General features: G+C 44.2%; 1 protein-coding gene and 1 long non-coding RNA gene across 2 annotated transcripts in view; one reads left to right on the forward strand and one right to left on the reverse strand.

Moving 5' to 3' along the window:
• LOC124904758 (uncharacterized) overlaps positions 1–15,951 on the reverse strand; it is a 31,324-nt gene that overhangs the window by 4,923 nt on the left and 10,450 nt on the right. The gene's annotated exons all lie outside the window — the stretch shown is intronic.
• On the forward strand, positions 2,439–4,641 carry ERVV-1 (endogenous retrovirus group V member 1, envelope). The gene has a single exon (NM_152473.3). It carries the CDS (start codon positions 2,609–2,611, stop codon positions 4,040–4,042), a length of 1,434 nt encoding a protein of 477 aa, NP_689686.2. The 5' UTR covers positions 2,439–2,608; the 3' UTR covers positions 4,043–4,641.

Raw genomic sequence — 15,951 nt, forward strand, 5'->3', positions numbered from 1 at the left:
TTAAGTCTGGTTTTCTGATGGCGGCAGTTTCATCCAACATGGAGTGACACATGCAGTTATGCAATAGTGTCTCTATTTGACATTATAGAAGCCAAATCCCTTCCTCCAAGAACATTGGCACAGCTAGCAGAGCTCATTTCCTTAACTAGAGCCATAGAAATAGGGAAAAACCCAAAAGCTACAATTTATACAGATTCAAAATATGCCCTCTCAGGACTCCATGCTCATGTGGCCATCTGGAAGGAACAGGGATTTTTACCAGCAAAAGATACCCCTAAGGAATGTGGACCACAGATCCTGGCCCTGCTCTAAGCTGTACACCTATCACAGGAAATAGCTGTAGTCCATGGCCAGGGACACCAAAGGACCAGGGAGAAAATGCCCAGCAAAACAGGAGGGTGGATCAAACAGCCAGGACCACTACCCTGTAGGGAACTCCTCATGGCCCTTAACCCATCTTTACCCAACACCTTACCCACCCACAAAAACCCAAGAGGAAAAGGAATGGGCTATCAAATATGAATCTACCCGAGAACCTGAGGTGTGGTATACAGTGGGAGGAATTCTCCACTTTCCTAGGCCCTCCAGTAAAAACTTGTGAGAGCACTCCATGAGTCATGTCACTTTGGGAGACATCATCTCCAGCACATGTGCAAAAACCTCTTTTCCAGGAAAGGGCTCTACTAGACTATTTGTCAGGTCTTTAACACCTGTGCATCCTGTGCCTGTAATAGCCCCCAGGGCCCTACGCTGCCCTGCTTTTTTTTTTTTTTTTTTTTTTTTTTGAGTCAAAGTTTCACTCTTAGTACCCAGGCTGGAGTGCAACGGCGTGATCTCAGCTCATCGCAATCTCTCCCTCCCAAGTTCAAGCGATTCTCCTGCCTCAGCCTCCTGAGTAGCTGGGATTACAGGCAGGTGCCACCAAAAAAAGACCAAAAAAAATTTTTTTTTTTTTTTGGTATTTTTAGTAGAGATGGGGTTTCTCCATGCTGGTCAGACTGGTCTTGAACTCCCAACCTCAGGTAATCCGCCTGCCTCGGCCTCCCAAAGTGCTGGGATTACAGGCATGAGCCACCGTGCCCAGCCAAATTTTTTTTTTTGTTCAATGTTGCCCAGGTTGGCCTCAAACGCGTAGCCTTGCCTCCTTGTGACCCAGGACAACCGGCCAGAGCCAATGCAGCTCCCTGTCCTGCTTAGTTGAGCCAGTTCAGCATTGGGAAGCTTACCCAGGGAAAGACTGATGGATGTATTTCACTCAATTGCCAGCCTGTAGAGGCTATAAATGCCTTCTGGTGTTTGTGGACACCTTTATTGGGTGGGTTAAAGCCTTTCCTACAAGAACAGAAAAGGCCCAGGAAGTAGCCAAGGTACTTCTTAAAAAAAAAAAAAAAATCATCCCGGCCGGGCGTGGTGGCTCACTTCTGTAATCTCAGCACTTTGGGAGGCCGAGGCAGGCGGATCACGAGGTCAGAGAATTGAGACCATCCTGGCTAACACAGTGAAATCCTGTCTCTACTAAAAAAGAGAAAAAATTAGGTGGGTGTGGTAGCGGGCGCCTATAGTCCCAGCTACTCAGGAGGCTGAGGCAGAAGAATGGTGTGAACCCGGGAGGTGGAGCTTGTGGTGAGCTGAGATTGTGCCACTGCACTCCAGCCTGGACAACAGAGCGAGACTCCGTCTCAAAAACAAAAAGAAAAAAAAAATCACCCCTCAGTGTGGGTTTAGTTTGTGTTTACAAAGTGACAACGGCCCAGTTTTTATTTCACGCACCCTTTAATTAGTGACAAAAGCCCTAGAAATAAAGTACTCCTAGCACTCCTGGAGAACACATTCCTCTGGCAAGGTAGAAAGCACTAATCAAACTATTAAAAGGACCCTGAACAAAGTGTGCCAGGAAACCTCCTCACCATGGTTAGAACTCCTGTCCGTAGCACTGTTCTGAGCATGACCCCTAATATTACTTATGCCTTCCTACATGCAGACCTAATGTTAGATCCAGAAGTTACCCAATTAATCAAATACATAACATCACTGGCCCAATTTCAACAAGCCATCCAGGAGTTTGAGCAAAAGGTACTGCCTGCCACTGACCCCTCCAGTAATCAACCCTTATACTAGCCAGGGTCACAAGTCCTCATCAAAACCTGGAGAGATGGGTCACCCAGGTCTCAACTAGCCTGGGTCTCTCCTTTATGGAAAGGCCCCTTTATTACTTTCTACCCCGACAGCTATCAAAGTTTCTGGAATCTCTAGTTGGATACATCACTCCTGAGTAAAACTGTGAGAAGGTCCCGAAGAACCAACAACAGAATCAGCATCTGAGTAGTCTCATGAGCCAGCCACTGGAGAGCTTCCAATTCCTCTTCAAGTGAAAAGATAAGTAAAGCCTTCTCTCCTTTCACCTCAAAAAAAGGTCTCTCAGTACGGGGAATCTTGGTTGCGGTGGCATCGGTTCTTCTCCTTATTTTGACCCACACTGGCATGCCACCTGAAGTCCCGATAACAGCCTGATTTCTCACTAAACACTCCATCGAACCATTTCATTATTTGTCTCTCCTATTTTCAGCACTTTCCTTTTGCTTTCACAAAGCTTAAGGGAGAATCAGCTATGACAGAGAAATTCCTTTTCCTTTATCTTTCCCTCCTTCCCATGCCCCTACTCTCACAGGCACAGTGGAATGAAAATTCCCTTGTCAGTTTTTCCAAAATAATTGCTTCGGGAAACCATCTAAGCAACTGTTGGATCTGCCACAACTTCATCACCAGGTCCTCATCTTACCAATATATTTTGGTAAGAAATTTTTCTTTAAACCTAACATTTGGTTCAGGAATCCCTGAAGGCCAACATAAATCTGTTCCGCTCCAGGTTTCGCTTGCTAACTCAGCGCACCAAGTCCCCTGCCTGGATCTCACTCCACCTTTCAATCAAAGCTCTAAAACTTCTTTCTATTTCTACAACTGCTCTTCTCTAAACCAAACCTGTTGTCCATGCCCTGAAGGACACTGTGACAGGAAGAACACCTCTGAGGAGGGATTCCCCAGTCCCACCATCCATCCCATGAGCTTCTCCCCAGCAGGCTGCCACCCTAACTTGACTCACTGGTGTCCAGCTAAACAAATGAACGATTATCGAGACAAGTCACCCCAAAACCGCTGTGCAGCTTGGGAAGGAAAAGAGCTAATCACATGGAGGGTTCTATATTTGCTTCCCAAGGCACACACTGTCCCCACATGGCCAAAATCTACTGTTCCCCTGGGAGGGCCTCTATCCCCTGCATGCAATCAAACTATTCCAGCAGGGTGGAAATCGCAGTTACACAAGTGGTTCGACAGCCACATCCCCCGGTGGGCCTGTACCCCTCCTGGCTATGTATTTTTATGTGGGCCACAAAAAAATAAACTGCCCTTTGATGGAAGTCCTAAGATAACTTATTCAACCCCCCCTGTGGCAAACCTCTACACTTGCATTAATAACATCCAACATACGGGAGAATGTGCTGTGGGACTTTTGGGACCACGGGGGATAGGTGTGACCATTTATAACACCACCCAACCCAGACAGAAAAGAGCTCTGGGTCTAATACTGGCAGGGATGGGTGCGGCCATAGGAATGATCGCCCCATGGGGAGGGTTCACTTATCATGATGTCACCCTCAGAAATCTCTCCAGACAAATAGACAACATAGCTAAGAGTACCAGAGATAGCATCTCTAAACTCAAGGCCTCCATAGATTCTCTAGCAAATGTAGTCATGAACAACAGATTGGCCTTAGATTACCTCTTAGCAGAGCAGGGTGGAGTCTGTGCAGTGATCAGTAAATCCTGTTGCATTTATGTCAATAACAGTGGGGCGATAGAGGAGGATATAAAAAAGATCTATGATGAGGTTACGTGGCTCCATAACTTTGGAAAAGGTGATTCAGCAGGGTCCATTTGGGAGGCTGTGAAGTCTGCCCTCCCCTCCCTCACATGGTTTGTCCCTTTACTGGGACCAGCTGCACTTAATAGCCTGCTTTCTCCTCTTTGGCCCTTGTCTCTATAATTCACTAATTAAATATGTCTCTTCCAGGATATGGCAATTTCACACAGAGCCCCTAAAAATGGAAAGAGATCATCCAATCTTCCTTGGAGGTCCCAGCACCTACAAGTACATATCTCCCTTGGATGCCAGTGGGCAAAGATTCTGCAACTACGGAGGGGCTCCTTCCCTGACAGAGAGCAAGAGAGGGAGACCCTGATGACTTCTTCGTCCCACGTCAGCAGGAAGTAGTTACAGAAGACCCACGACGTCCTTATGCCCAAAGCTTTTCAGGGTCTCCAACTCTTGAGGGGGAATACTGTTAGGGTAGGCAGGTAGCCAGACAAGAGCAGGCAAGGAAGCCCCTGGGAAAGGAATCTTTAGAAATGCAGCCCGCTGATGGCCTCCTTGGAAACGCTGCACGCTGAGTCAGCAAAAGGAGGAGCGTGGCTACACTGGCTACACCTGGCCTTGTGGCTGCATTCCTCTGTTCCAGAAGGGAACTTATCAAGGCCCAGCCAGAGGTTACCAAGGTAGGAGCTATTCCCCACTAAGAAGCATGTATACTTCTCTAATAATTCACCCTAATATACCATTTTGTTCATTAAAATAATAAAAAAAACCACACACCTGTGTGGAGATTTTATTTTTTAACCAGAAATTCCTTGTTAGACTTTAGATCCAAATGACATGGCACATGTGTGCCCAGACCAGTTCCCAACACATGCTTACTAGTAACGCCCCTGCATGACCCCTTCATGAATAATCATGTAAAATTCTCATAAGAAGCATCTCCCCAGCCAGGTGTGGTGGCTCACGCCTGTAATCCCAACACTTTGGGAGGCTGAGGCAGGCAGATCACCTGAGGTCGGGAGCGCGAGACCAGCCTGACCAACATGGAGAAACCCCGTCTCTACTAAAAATACAAAATTAGCTGGGCGTGGTGGCGCATGCCTGTAATCCCAGCTACTTGGGAGGCTGAGGCAGGAGAATCGCTTGAACCCGGGAGGCAGAGGTTGTGTTGAGCCAAGATCGTGCCATTCCACTCCAGCCTGGGCAACGAGAGGGGAACTCCATCTCAAAAAACGAACAAACAAAAAGAAGCGTCTCCCCAGCATTGGTGAGACAGACTCATTCATTTGAGCAGCCCAGCCTGTTCTGTCTTTCAGGGTGTACTGTTTATTTAAAAGCCCCCATAAAAATTCCTCCCAGGCCAGGCATGGTGGCTCAGGCCTGTAATCCCTGCACTTCCTTGGGCGGATCCTCAGACAGATCACAGCTCAGGAGTTTGAGACCAGCCTGACAAACATGGCGAAACCCCGTCTCTACTAAAAATACAAAAAAATTAGCCGGGCCTGGTGGCACGCACCTGTAATCCCAGCTACTCAGGAGGCTGAGGGAGGAGAATCACTTGAAACCAGGAGGCGGAGGTTGCAGTGAGCCAAGATTGCGCCACTGCACTCCAGCCTGGGCTACAGGAGACTCCATCTGGGGAGGGCGGCGGGGAATTCCTCCTAAGTCACTAGCAGCTGACTCACTCTCTGCAGCAGCCAGTTCTGTCTCTTCTTGACCTCCTGTCTTTAAATAAAGGTTACTTAACGATTTAACTCTTTCTGTGTGCCTCCTAGATGAATTCTTTCCTTCAGGAAGATAAACTGAAGGACCTCCACACCCCTCCTGGTAACAAAGGTCTTTGTGCAATCCCTCCTGAAGAAGCAATGGAGGATTTAGTATATCTAAACTAGTAAATACAAACTGTACTCAATTATCCAAGAAATCATTGAAGAAACACTCTTTACTCCATTTTTTATATCTTGGGAAAAATATAATTAAAGACAAAATAATATTTGCCAAACCCAGAAATCCTCACCAAAAAGGAAAAAAATAAATAAACAATCCCAGTTGGTGGCTGGTGAATGCTTCTACCTTAATCAATACATGTTTTGAAGCTGTCAGCTTCTTTTTGCTCATAAGTGACTCCACAGAATCTAGTCTTTGCTTTGCCCTCTAGACAAGGAATACAGAATTTTTAAATCTTATCAGAAACATATAAATTGTTTGGTTTTGCACAATATTTACTAATTTTCTCCACTCATCCACTGTGGAGTCATAGCACAAAATGAGGCACCACCCTCTCGTATTGCAACTAAAACAGACTGAGCTTCTGCTCCATAACCATAAACAGTAATAGCAATACTAATTGAAAGATGAAGTAATTTTACGTAAGTAGGTATAAAACTGATAATTCATTGTTATTTTCAGTTTTACAATAAGTGGGAATTACATAGAATAAATCTTTCTCTCTCTCTCTTTCTATTTCTGACAGTCCCGCTCTGTCGCACAGGCCAAAGTGCCATGGGGTGACCTCAGCTTACTGCAACCTCCGCTTCCTGGGTTCAAGTAACTCTTGTGCCTCAGTCTCCTGAGTAGCTGGGATTGCAGGTGTACACCACCTTGCTTGGCTAATTTTTGTATTTTTCATAGAGATGAAATTTCACTATGTTGGCCAGAGTGGTCTCAAACTCCCAACCTCAGATGATCAGCCTGCCTTGGTCTCCCAAGGTGCTGGGATTACAGGCATGAGCCACCACACCCAACGGAGTTTTCACTCATTTACTTTAATCATCATGGGTTAGAGATATAGCTTTTAAAAATGTAATTGAATATACCCTTACAGTTAGGATCTAAAAAGAGCATTTCCTCTATTAATGTTTATTAAATAATATGGTGGAACTCAGACTTGCTCTGTTGCCCAAGTTGGAGTGCAGTGGCATGATCTTGGCTCAATGCAATCTCTACCTCATGGGTTTAAGTGATTCTCGTGCCTCAGCCTCCTGAGTAGCTGGGATTGCAGGCATACACCACCATGCCTGGCTAAATTTTGTATTTTTACTAGAGACAGGGTTTCACCATGTTGCTCAGGTTAGTCTCGAACTCCTGGCCACAAGTGATCCACCCACCTTGGCCTCCCAAAGTGCTGGGATTGCAGGTGTGAGCCACCACACCAGCTTAATTTTTTTTCTTTTTCTTTTCTTTTCTTTTCTTTTTTTTTTGAGATGGAGTTTCACTCTTGTTGTCCAGGCTGGAGTGCAGTGGCACAATCTCAGCTCACTACAACCTGCACCTCCTGGGTTCAAGTGATTCTCCTGCCTCAGCCTCCTGAGTAGCTGGGATTACAGGCATGTGCCACCATGCCTAATTTTGTATTTTTAGTAGAGATGGGGTTTCTCCATGTTAGTTAGGCTGGTCTTGAACTCCCGACCTCAGGTGATCTGCCCGTCTCAGCTTCCCAAAGTGCTGGGATTACAGGCGTGAGCCATCGTGCCCAGCAATTTTTTCTATCTGAGTTTCTTCCGTACTAATCAGCTTGTGATAGACACATGGTTTCTGAAACAGAAAAGTGCAAGGGCTTTTTATGAGCAGGGTGTGGAAGACTACCAGTAACAAATGCTTTGGCATAAGTGATGAGTGAGAAGGGGAGTGAGAGTCTCTACTGTCCTACCTACTAATTGTGCTTTGGGAATTTGGATTGAAAAAAGCCACCTTAATGGTGTTTGGTTATCATTTATTCTCCCCCACCTGGCAGGAAATAAGGACAGGGTCCCCAAAGCTGCTAGGGCACTTAGGGTGGATATGAAACATTAAAATATGAAACATTAAAACTTCACTTGCTTGAAACCAGAGCAGCCACCAAACTGCTCAAAATTACTGCCAATGATGTCTTGCTTCCTGGCATTCAGAAACCTTCTCCTTCTCTACCCCTGACTCTTCCTTCCCTCTCTATCCCAATCTCAATCACCTTAAGGAAGAGCTGAGTATCCTGAAAAATTTGAAAGGAAAAAAGAGATTCAAACTTTTGTAGCTCTCTTGGTAAGAGGTGCCCCAATCACCTTCCGAGGAGAAATGCTTTGTAGGAGTGTCTCAAACCACCAAGACCTGTGGGACCAAGCACATATGGGGCCCATAGGAAGAAGCCACTGAGCCTCAGGATCCTCCAGATGCTGGGAGGTACATGGAGCAGCAGGCAGCATTATGCTTGTATCAAGCACCCAAGGAGAAAACAAGGCCACTGAGCTGCCCCAGCCTTCCCTGACATGATTGTCTCCTATGGCCCTGGGTTTGTTTGGAGACCTGCAACATAACTGTAATTCCTCCTTCTCCTTTGTGAGTTCAAACTAAGGGTAGGTTTGCTACCAGTCTTTTAAAAAAGATTGGTGCCACTCTTGCTTACAGGGCAGAGAAGGCACCCAGAATGGTGGCCACTGGCACCCCACTCCCAAGCCAATACCACCTCTAGTGTAACCATGCACACAATCTCCAGAAGGGGACCCCAGCCCCTGACCCAGCTGCATTGTCTCTGCCACTGTGGTGAACACTTGCATGGAGGCAGGTACTCTGGCGCCCTCTAGCACTCTGGCTCTTGAGGAGTCAGAGGAAAACACTGGGGCCCAATACAAGTCCCCTAAAGTTAGAGCACACAGTCCAGATAAGTGCTGGCCCCCTAAAATCTTCCAGAAATGAAGCCAGTCAGCTGAATCCACCTTATACCACAATCCACAATCAAACCCTCAAGGTCATCAAATAGTTATGATAAAAGTAAAAAACAAAAACAAAAAACAATCCTCATCCAAAGGTCAGCAACCTCAAAGACTGAAGGTAGATAAGCCCAAAAAGATGAGAAAGAATCAGTGCAAGAACCCTGGAAACTCAAAAAGCTAGAGTGCCTTTTTTCTTCCAAACAACTGCATCACCTTTCCAGCAAGGTTTCTGCACCATGCAGAGATGGCAGAAATAACAGAAATAGAACTCAAAATGTGGATAAGGACAAAGTTCATTGAGCTATGGGAGTATGTTGAAACCCAATCCAAGAAAGATAACAAACACATAAAACAATGGGATTATGTAAAGAGGCCAAATCTATGATTCACTGGTGTCCCTGAAAGAGAGTGAAACCAATTTGGAAAATATATTTTTGCATATTATCCATGAGAACTTCCCCAACCTAGCTAGAGAGGCCAACATTCAAATTCAGGAAATGCAGAGAACCCCAGTAAGATACTTCACAAGAAGATCATACCCAAGCCACATAATCATCAGATTCTCCAAGGTCAAAATGAAAGAAAAAATGTTAAAGGAAGCTAGAGAGAAAGGTCAGGTCACCTACAAAGGAAAGCCCATAAGAGCAGACATCTCAGCAGAAAGCCTACAAGCTAGAAGAGATTGAGGGCCAATATTTAACATTCTTAAAGAAAAGAAATTCCAACCCACAATTTCATAGTTGGCCAAAGTAAGCTTCATAAGCGAAAGAGAAATAAGATCCTTTTCAGAGAAGCAAATGCTGAGGGAATTCATTACCATCAGACCTGCAGTACAAGAGCTCCTGAAGAAAGCATTAAATATGGAAAGACCATTACCAACCACTACAAAAACACACTAAAGGACATAGATCAGTTACACTATACCACCTAACACCATGATAACGGATCAAATCCACACATATCAATATTAACCTTAAATGTAAATGGGCAGCCAGCTGGATGCAGTGGCTCATGCCTGTAACCCCAGCACTTTGGGAGGTGGAGGTGGGTGGATCATGACATTAGGAGTTTCAGACCAGCCTGGCCAACATGGTGAAACCCCATCTCTACTAAAAACACAAAAATTAGCTGGGCATGGTGGTGCATGCCTATAGTCCTAGCTACTCAGGAGGCTGAGGCAGGAGAATCGCTTCAGCCCCAGAGGCGGAGGCTGCAGTCAGCTGAGATTATGCCATTGCACTCCAGCCTGGGCAACAGAGCAAGACTCTGTCTCAGGAAAAAAAAAAAAAAAAGTAAATGGCCTAAATGCCCCAATTAAGAGACAGACTGGCAAGGTGGGTAAAGAACCAAAACCCACTGGTATGCTGTCTCCAAGAGACCCATCTCACAAGCAGTGACACACATAGGCTTAAAATAAAGAAATGGACAAAAATCCAAGTCTTTGCTATTGTGAATAGTGCCACAATAAATATACGTGTGCATGTGTCTTTAGAGCAGCATGATTTATAATCCTTTGGGTATATACCCAGTAATAGGATGGCTGGGTCAAATGGTATTTCTAGTTATAGATCCCTGAGGAATCGCCACACCGACTTCCACAATGGTTGAACTAGTTTACAGTCCCACCAACAGTGTAAAAGTGTTCCTATTTCTCCACATCCTCTCCAGCACCTGTTGTTTCCTGACTTTTTAATGATCGCCATTCTAACTGGTGTGAGATGGTATCTCATTGTGGTTTTGATTAGCATTTCTCTGATGGCCAGTGATGATGAGCATTTTTTCATGTGTCTGTTGGCTGCATAAATGTCTTCTTTTGAGAAGTGTCTGTTCATATCCTTCGCCCACTTTTTGATGGGGTTGTCTTTTTCTTGTAAATTTGTTTGAGTTCATTGTAGATTCTGGATATTAGCCCTTTATCAGATGAGTAGGTTGCAAAAATTTTCTCCCATTCTGTAGGTTGTCTATTCACTCTGATGGTTTCTTTTGCTTTGCAGAAGCTCCTTAGTTTCATTAGATCCCATTTGTCAATTTTGGCTTTTGTTGCCATTGCTTTTGGTGTTTTAGTCATGAAGTCCTTGCCCATGCCTATGTCCTGAATGGTATTGCCTAGGTTTTCTTCTAGGGTTTTTATGGTTTTAGGTCTAGCATGTAAGTCTTTAATCCATCTTGAATTAATTTTTGTATAAGGTGTAAGGAAGGGATCCAGTTTCAGCTTTCTACATATGGCTAGCCAGTTTTCCCAACACAAATGTCCAACAATGATAGACTCGATTAAGAAAACGTGGCACATATACACCATGGAATACTATGCAGCCATAAAAAATGATGAGTTCATGTCCTTTGTAGGGACATGGATGAAGCTGGAAACCATCATTCTCAGCAAACTATTGCAAGGACAAAAAACCAAACACCGCATGTTCTCACTCATAGGTGGGAATTGAAGAATGAGAACACATGAACACAGGAAGGGGAACATCACACACCCGGAACTGTTGTGGGGTGGGGGGAGGGAGGGATAGCATTAGGAGATACACCTAATGCTAAATGATGAGTTGATGGGTGCAGCACACCAACATGGCACATGTATACATATGTCACAAACCTGCATGTTGTGCACGTGTACCCTAAAACTTAAAGTATAATAATAAAAAAAAGAGAAAAAAAACCTGCTTATTAGGAAAGCAGAGTAATTATAGAATGTAAAATTAGTGAAAAAATTTATGAAATTTTGCCTTTATAATGATATTTAAAATAAATACCATCATGCCTCTTTTGCAGGTAAAGAAAATGAAAAACTAGAATATTTAGGCTCAGGGTGGGGTAACTTTAAAAAAGAAGGACTGGTCATGTCTATACAATACAATATCCTTCCTCCCCTAATAAACTAACTCCTAAAATAAAAAAATAAAAAATAAATAAATGGACAAAAATCTACCAAGAAAATGGAAAACAGAAAAAAAGCAGGGGGCCAGGTGCAATGGCTCATGGCTATAATCCCAGGACTTTGGGAGACCGAGGCAGGAGGATCACTTGAGGCCAGGAGTTCAAGACCAGCTTGGCCAACATGGTGAAATGCTGTCTCTACTAAAAATACAAAAAATTAGCTGGGCATGGGGGCTTGTGCCTGTAATCCCAGCTACTAGGGAAGCTGATGCAGGAGAATTACTTGCACACCGGAGGTGGAGGTTGCAGTGAACTGAGATTGCACCACTGGTCTCCAGCCTGGGCAACAGAGCAAGACTCCAACTCAAAAAGAAAAAAAGGAAAGAAAAAGAAAAAAAAAAGCAGGGGTTGCAATTCTAGTTTCTAACAAAACAGACTTTAAACCAACAAAGATTCTAAAAAGACAAGGAAGGGCATTACATAATGGTAAAGGGTTCAATTTGACAAGAAGAGCTAACTATCCTGAATACATATGTACGCAACACAGGAGCACCCTGTATTCCTAATGCAGGAACTTGCTCAAAATGCAGGTTCTTAGAGACTTTCAAAGAGACTTACACTCCCACATAATAACAGTGGGAGACTTTAACACCCCACTGGCAATATCAGACAGATCATTCACACAGAAAATTAACAAAAATATTCAGGACTTGAATTCAGCACTGGATCAAATGGACCTGACAGACATCTACGGAACTCTCTACTCAAAAACAATAGTATATACATTCTCCCCATTGTCACATGGCACACACTCCTTTTTTTTTTTTTTTTTTTTTTTTTGAGATGGAGTCTCACTCTGTCCCCCAGGCTGGAGTGCAGTGGCACGATCTCGGCTCACTGCAACCTCCGCCTCCCAGGTACAAGCAATTCTCTGCCTCAGCCTCCAAAGTAGCTGGGATTACAGGCACCTGCCATGATGCCCGGCTAATTTTTGTTATTTTTAGTAGAGATGGGGTTTCACCATCTTGGCCAAACTGCTCTTGAACTTCTGACCTCATGATTCACCCACCTCAGCCTCCCAAAGTGCTGGGATTACAGGCGTGAGCCACGGCACCTGGCCGGCACACACTCTTAAATAGATCACATAATTGAAAGTAAAATACTCCTCAGCAAATGCAAAATAACTGAAATCATAACAACCTCTTTGATCATAGTGCAATCAAGTCAGAAATCAAGACTAAGAAATTCGTTCAAAACCATATATTACACAGAAATTGAATCACTTGCTCCAGAATGACTTTTACCTCTATAATTGACAATTCTTGTCTCCCATCTTGCTCTTTCTTCTTAAATTTCCTTGGCTATTCCCTCCAAGATGATGTTGGATAAGAGGAGACTAGAAGCTCCTTAGTGTCATTTCTGACTTTAGTGTGACTTTCTGTAACATGTCCCAGATGTTTGTCAATTTGATGAAGATATATCACTTCCTAGTTCACTATTTTTAGGTAACATTATTTCCTGTTAAATACTGCCAATTTTTTTTGCATTTATGAATGTGGGCACCTTATTTTTCTCTCAACATAGAGAGACCCCATCTCTACAAAAAAATACAAAAATCAGCCAGGCATGGTGGCACATGCCTTTGGTCCCAGCTATTCAGGAGACTGAGATGAGAGGATCATGTGAACCTGGGAGAGGGAGGTTGCAGTGAGTGAGTCAAGATCATGAACGCTGCACTCCAGCCTGGGTGACAGAATGAGACCCTGCATGAAAAAAAAAGACTGCATGGCATTGGTGGGGAGTGATATATATATCCATGGAACAGAATAGAGAATGCACAAATATTTTCCTTTCAACTGATATTTGATAAAGATACCAAAGCAGGCCAGGTATGGTGGCTCACGCCTGTAATCCCAGCACTTTGGGAGGCCGAGGCAGGCAGATCACGAGGTCAAGAAATTGAGACCATCCTGGCCAATGTGGTGAAACCCCGTCTCTACTAAAAATACAAAAATTAGCTGGGTGTGGTGACACGTGCCTGCAATCCCAGTTACTCGGGAGGCTGAGGCAGGAGAATCACTTGAACCCAGGAGACGGAGGTTGCAGTGAGCCGAGATCATGCCACTGCACTCCAGCCAGGCGGCAGTGAGACTCCATCTCAAAAAAAAAATTAAAAAAAAAAAAGATACCAAAGCAATTGAAAGCAGGACTTTCAAATAATGGTGCTGGACCAAATGAATATCCACAATGAAAAAAGATCAATCTGCACCTAAATTTGACACTCATTCAAAAAGGACCATGTTGTGAAATGCAAAATAAAGAAACCATCAAATGTTAATCTATCAAGAATTAGAAAAACATACTGTAAACTAATTGGGAACAAGCACACCAAAGAGTTCATAGATATGACACCAAAAGCATGGAAAAAAATGATAAATGAAACTTCGTCAAGTTAAAACTTCTGGTCTGTGATACCAATGGAACAGAACAGAGAACCCAGAAATAAGGCCACAAACCTGCAACTATCTGATCTTCGATGAAGCTGACAAAAACAAGCAATGGAGATAACACTCTCTACTTAATAAATGATGCTGGGATAACTGGCTAGCCACATGTAGAAGACTGAAGCTGGACCTCTTCCTTATACCACACAAAAAATTAAGTCAAGATGAATCAAAGACTTAAATGAGAAATCCCAAACTATAAAACACATGGAAGATAATCTAGGCAATACCATCCTGGACATACAAATGGACAAAGATTTCATAACGAAGACACCAAAAGCAATTACAACAAAAGCAAAAATTGACAAATGGGATCTAATTACACCAAAGAGCTTCCACATAGCAAAAGAAACTATCGCAATGAATAGAAAACCGTACAGAATGTGAGAAACTTTTGTGCAAACTATGCACCTGACGAGTCTAATATCCAGCATCTATGAGGAACTTACACAAAATTATAAGAATAAAACAACCCCATTAAAAAGTGGGCAAAGGACATGAACATTTTTCAAAAGAAGACATATGGCCCAGCTCAATGGCTCAAACCTATAATCCCAGCACTTTGGGAGGCCAATCCTGGTGGATCACCTGAGGTCAGGAGTTCCAGACCAGCTTGGCCAACATGGTGAAACCCCGTCTCTACTAAAAATACAAAAATTAGCCACGCGTGGTGGCTCACGCCTGTAATCCCAGCCACTCGGGAGGAAGAGGCAGGAGAATTGCTTGAACCCGAGAGAGGCGGTGGTTGCAGTGAGCCAAGATCGTGCCACTGCACTCCAGCCTGGGCAACAGAGTGAGACTATGTCTCCAAAAAAAAAAAAGACAGAAAAAAGAAACAACCCAGAGCACAGGAAAAGGGAAGACGCCTGTGTGGCTGGAACAGACGGAGTGAGCGCTCACTAGCAGGAGATAAGGTCAGAGATGTCCTGGGGAAGCAGATCAGATAGGGACAAGGTCTTCAAACAACTCTCTCCCACACCACAAAAGAAATTGGAAATGATTTATTTCCTCACCTGTTTTAAGTAAACATTTAACTTTTTTCTTTCTCGTAGAAGAGAAAGTGATCAACTGTACCACATACTACCAAAAGGAAGAGAAAGATGAGGACAGGAAGTTAAATATTGCATTTAAAAATGGGGAGGTTCTCTGGGCGCAGTGGCTCACATCTGTAATCCCAGCTCTCAGGGAGGCAGAGGCGAGAGGATAGCTAGAGCCCAGGAGTTCGAGACCCGCCTGGGCAATATAGCAAGACCCCGTTGTTCTCCACAAAAAGCAAAAAAAAAAAAAAGACAAAAAAAAGTGTAGGCCAGGTGTGGCGACTCACGCTTGTAATCCCAGCACTTTGGGAGGCCAAGGCGGGCAGATCATGAGGTCAAGAGATCGAGACCGTCCTGGCAAACATGGTGAAACCCCACCTCTACTGAAAATACAAAAATTAGTTGGGCGTGGTGCGCGTGCCTGTAGTTCCAGCTACTCAGGAGGCTGAGGCAGGAGAATTGCTTGAACCTGGGAGGCGGAGGTTGCAGTGAACCGAGATGCACCACTGCACTCCCGCCTGCGCGACAGAGCAACTCTCAAAAAACAAAAAAAAAAAAGTGTAAAAATGGGGAGGTTGGCTGGGCTCAGTGACTCACACCTGTAATCCCAGTACTTTGGGAGGCCAAAGTGGGCAAATCACAATCACCTTAGGTCAGGAGTTTGAGACCAGCCTGGCTAACATGGTGAAGCCCCGCCTCTACTAAAAATACAAAAATTAGCTGGGTGTGGTGGTGCATGCCTGTAATCCCAGCTACTCAGGAGGCTGACGCTGGAGAATTGCTTGAATCCGGGAGGCGGAGTTTGCAGTGAGCAGAGATCATGCCACTGCACTCCAGCCTGGATGACAGAGTGAGACTCCGTCTCAAAAAAAAAAAAAAAAAAGAAAGAAAGAAATGGGAAGTCACTGATGATTGAAAAAGAAGGGATCAGTTGAATGCTGGAAGTGAATGTTTGATTCAAGCAAGAATTC

Source organism: Homo sapiens, chromosome 19 (assembly GCF_000001405.40).
Source record: "Homo sapiens chromosome 19, GRCh38.p14 Primary Assembly".
In the NCBI taxonomy this organism is placed as follows: Eukaryota; Metazoa; Chordata; class Mammalia; order Primates; family Hominidae; genus Homo; species Homo sapiens.

Coding starts and splice junctions, on each gene's coding strand:
- ERVV-1 (NM_152473.3), top strand. CDS start 2,609: ATGACAGAGAAATTCCTTTTCCTTTATCTTTCCCTCCTTCCCATGCCC.